Here is a 4,738-nt window from a genome sequence, read left to right as displayed (position 1 = left end):
GTGGAAGGAGAACTAGAGGATTATTCCTGTTTTGTTCTCTGTACTTGGAGAAACCCTCTGTGCTTCTCATATCACGGGGCCTGTGGGGCTGAAAACAGGGTGGCTTGAAGACATCCTCTCCTACTCTCCCCTCCCCTTTCTTCAGCTCCCCTCCCCTCTCCTCGGTGCTGTGGGTGCCTCTGCTCATGGAGGGAACCATGTGGCTGAGGCTGTTGTGATTCTTTCTGATTTGGTCTTGTGGTCTCTTTCTGCAGAGTTCCTATAAACTGTGCCCCACCTAATGGGCCTCGGGGATTTGGTGGTGGATGTGTACAGCACGCCTTTCACAAGATTCTTCTTTATCCTGGCAGGTGGCCTCATGCCTGAGGGTGAGACCCATGGTCTGGTGTTGCTCTCACAGGAATCTTGTTCATACTGGCAGACTCCTTGTGGCTCCCATCTGACCTGTTTCCAGCTATTCCCAATAAGATAGCCACTCTTTAGGCCAGCCCTGACTAGGAGAGGAGCTAGGTTCTGGTGCATCTGTCCGGGGAGACAGAGGAGGCAACTGGACAAAGCACATAGAGTCACAGAAGCAGCATATTCCTCACAGATCCCAGAGAGAAGAAGGCAGAATACCTCACATGGCTAGCGGAATGGAGGGAGCTGCCTGGGGCACACACACACACAACCACTGGGTGGGGATCGAGAGAGAGGAGGACCTGTAAGCTGAGGCCTTAAGTGGGGTCCAGGGGTCTACCCCAGGCAGGTTTCCCATAGGGAGTTCTAATTGATGGGTTTAGAGCAAGCAGGCACCGGTTCCATGTAATCACGCCATGACTGAGAGGTGGTCATTGCAGCATATCTGTGAGGTCCATGTGGGGTCAGTGGGGTGAGTCAAGTAGGTTGTATCCAGCTGTCTCGTAGGGCAGTGGTCACCAGGAGGTGTTTGTATAAGGCAGATGTCTGGATTGATCACATTGAGGAACTGGAAGGAGGTGGAGAGCTGGAAACTGTGTTAAGGGTGAGTAAGCCCTGCCTCTGGTAGGAAAAAGTTAAACCTCTGTTGGGAATGGTAACATGGAATTATAAGAGTTCACTACAAGCTGCATCCTAGGCCTTTCTCCTACTCTCACTGCCACAGAAACCCAGTGGTTCCGGGTTAGTGGGTCCGCATGTTGGTGCATGTTCGTGTGTGTGCGTGCATGCGTGTGTTTGTGCATGCATGTGCACATATGTGTGTCTGAGGTCTTTCTTTTCACCCTTAAACCCCAACAGGCTAGTGACAGGTTGTGGGCCCAGGGCAGCAGGGGCCACTGATCTTCAGGGGCCTCATGGCTCAAATGACATAGCAGGGCCCAGGCAGGGTTATGGTTGGAGAGACACCTGGGGACCCAGGGACGGCCCTGTGGCCCAGGCAGGGATGTGGCAGGAACCTCTAACAGAGCCTGCACCTGACAAGGACCAGAGAGTGGTAGCCTTGAAGTCACACCTGCCTCGATTTAATGAACAAGTGGGCAGTTTGCACAACTGGCCTGGCTGTTTCCAGTTAGCGTCGGCTCCCAGGGACTGGCACAGGCTCAGTCGGCTCAGCATATTGTCTATGGGCGATTTTCCATCTTGCTCACAAAACCAGGAACATTTACTATCTGGCCTTTTCCAGAAAAAAGTTTGCGGGTTCCCGGGCCATGCTCTCATTATTGTTGGCGTTATGAGGAAATGCAGATACAGCAGCAGAAGGAAGATCTGAGAGAAGAAGACAACAGGGTCACTGAAGTTGTGTTAAAGTGGTGCAGCACATTTGCCCTCTTTTTTTTTTGTACTTTCAAGACTGGCCACAATGCTGAATTTCAACGAAAGCACCCATAAGGAAGCCTGCCTTTTGATGTGCTCAGCCTGCGAGGGTCGGGAGGAAGAGAGGGGCCTGCCGCCTCGCGCCCTGCCCGCGCGCCCTCTGTGGGTGCCGCTGGTCCCGGTGTGGCCGGCAGGGGGCGCGCGCGCCATTCCCGGGCTCGCCGGGCGGGGCGGGGGCGCTTCCGAAGCTGAGCCGAGGACGCCGTGTTCCGCCGGTCCGGAGCGCCGCTACTCCGCGACCTGAGCCTGGCTCAGCAGCTCTGCCAGGCGTGCTTCCGCGCAGGGTGGCCGGACGTTCTGGGGAAGTTGCCCCGGGCCCAGCACAACGCCTGCGGGGGAGGGGGTGAGCGGCTCCAGCAAGGGACCCAGGGGCGGGGCTCAGGGAGACGGGGAGGGAGAATGGAATAGATAGGAACCGTCGAGATCTCGCAGGGGGGCCCACAGGCCACCCCCAGGGTCGCCTCCGCCCCCGCTGCCCTGCGGGCTACCGGCTCCAGTGGCGGGCCAGGACAGGGCAGCGCGAAGAGGAAACGCGCCCCGGCGCTAGGCCCCCCTCCCAAGGAAGGGGTCAAGCGGGCTCTGCCCTGCCCTACTAGTGTGACTGCTGGCTTCTGGGGGCTCAGCTCCCCGACTGTAGAGGAAGAGCTAGAAAAGCGATTCCCGAGAAGGGGAATCATTGTAAGCAGTTACTGCACTGTAAAGTGGCAGAGGGCTTGCTTGGTAGCGGAGAATCAATCGGGTTACTCTTCCTTCCTCACGGGAAGGGCATTTGTAAATTCCGCGTTGCAGAGACAGCCGGTGCTGGCCAGTTGCCTGGCAAGCGTGTGCTCACGCACACATCAGCTGCATCCATGAGGGAGATGATCCTATCTTAGCGTGGCAGGGCCAGAAAGGGGCTGAGAGTCTGGGCCCAGTACTGCTGGACTGTGCAGCCTTCGCTCTGTTCTCCTTCAGTGATGACTCACTCTCTCCTGAAAGAAGACCACACTGCCCCGGAGACACAGGAGGCCTTCTGACCTGGCCCGGTTGCCCTTCCTGGAGATGCCCCTCCTTCCCCAGAAGGCAGGCTCAGCTCATGGATGGTGCAGTCAGTAAGGGGAACTCAGTGCTGCCCAGGTCCCAGTCCACTGTGGACACCTGCATGATCTGACACTTCCCCATGAGGACTTTTGAGAAGCCAGATGACTTGTTTGAATTATCCAGTTCAGCTCCTGAGCCTCCTCTGCAAGATCCTACCAAGCAAACTTGGGGTGTTTCCCCTGCTCCCCTATTTCTGGTATTAACACCTTCCCCAGAACACCAGACTATTCCTGTTATGACGAGTAAAGACCTCTTAGTATTGTAACTTAAGGGGGTCACACCATGGCAACATTCTATTTTTTTCCTTTTTGTGTACTAGCTAGAATTACTCTATTTATTTACTTCAGGCATTTACTTGTTGTAATTATCTGATTTTGTGTCCCTGAAATAGTTTTTGCAGAAAAATCAGGATAAATTATTGATTCTGCCCCTTTTATTTTTTATAGTTTTTAGAAGGGGTTTATTTTTTATAATCCAAATGTGCCCAAGTAAGGTTTGTTTGTTGAGAAGTGCCTTTCCAAACCCCTCAATTTTTATTTTATTTATATTTATTTATTTATTTATTTATTCATTTTGAGACAGAGTCTTGCTCTGTCTCCCAGGTTGGAGTGCAGTGGCACCTTGTATTAGTCCGTTTTCATGCTGCTGATAAAGACATACCCCAGAATGGGAAGAAGAAGAGGTTTAGTGGACTTGCAGTTCCACATGACTGGGGAGGCCTTACAATCGTGGTGGAGGGCAAGGAAGAGCAAGTCAGGTCTTACACGGATGGCGGCAGGAAAAGAGAGAGAACTTGTGTAGGGGAACTCCTCTTTATAAAACCATCAGATCTCATGTGAGACTTATTCACTATCATGAGACCAGCACGAGAAAGACCTGCCCCTGTGATTCACAGGGACCCACTGGGTCCCTCCCATGACACATGGAATTGTGGGAGTTACAATTCAAGATGAGATTTGGGGGGAAACACAGCCAAACCCTATCAAGCCATCTCGGCTCTCTGCAACCTCCACTTCCCAGGCTCAAGTGATTCTCCTGCCTCAGCCTCCTGAGTAGCTGGGATTACAGGCATGCGCCACCACACCTGGATAATTTTTGTATTTTTTATAGACATGGGGTTTCATCATGTCGGCCAGACTGGTCTTGAACTCCTGACCTCGTGCAATCCACCTGCCTCAGCCTCCCGAAGTGTTGGGATTGCAGGAGTGAGCCACTGTGCCTGGCCCTCAATTTTTAACATGTATGTTTCCATTCATTGCTGAGCTGTTTAACCTTATATAATGTTAAAGAAAACAGATGGCAGCTAGGTAACAAGAGCCCTGTCAATGGGCATCCCCTTCTCCTATGTTCCGTTTCTGGGAATCAACTTAAAGAGACCATTAAAAACCAGATTTGCACAAAATCAAACAAACATATTGGTTGAAGCATTTAAAAGAATGAAAGTTTGGAAATAATCTCATTATTCAATAGTTATTCAGTAGTTGCTTAATAAAATGTGGCATATCCATTTGATGGAATATTATATAGCAATTAAAATGATATTTCTTAAAACTATGTATGTCTTCAAGCATCTTTATTGAGGTATACATACCATAAAATTCATCCAATTTGAAATGTACATTCAGTGACTTTTAGTAAACCATCACAATTCAGTTTTAGAACATTATCACCACCCCCAAAATTTCCTCCTACCCATTTGCAATCAATCCCAGCTACCATTTTTGACTCCAGGCAACTACTGACCTGCTTTCTATCTCTATAGACAGAAATTCCTAGAAATTTCATATAAGTAGAATCATACTATATGTGGTCTTTTGTGTCCGGC

At 50.8% G+C, this 4,738-nt stretch overlaps 1 long non-coding RNA gene across 1 annotated transcript, besides 1 other annotated feature; it reads left to right on the top strand.

The window, feature by feature from the left end:
- Window positions 1,892-2,071: a silencer, noted in NCBI's record as "silent region_18166". NCBI's record gives its function as "represses an Ori minimal core promoter by ATAC-STARR-seq in GM12878 lymphoblastoid cells {active_cell/tissue: GM12878}" and the evidence as "EXISTENCE:reporter gene assay evidence [ECO:0000049][PMID:35858748]".
- LOC124901628 (uncharacterized) lies at window positions 1,953-4,467 on the top strand. Its single transcript, XR_007060318.1, has 2 exons — window positions 1,953-2,176; window positions 2,788-4,467. It is a non-coding gene; the product is annotated as an uncharacterized LOC124901628 (long non-coding RNA).
- The last annotated feature ends 271 nt before the right edge of the window (window positions 4,468-4,738 follow it).

Source organism: Homo sapiens, chromosome 7 (assembly GCF_000001405.40).
Source record: "Homo sapiens chromosome 7, GRCh38.p14 Primary Assembly".
NCBI lineage: Eukaryota > Metazoa > Chordata > Mammalia > Primates > Hominidae > Homo > Homo sapiens.
This window is presented reverse-complemented; position numbering and strand designations above follow the sequence as displayed.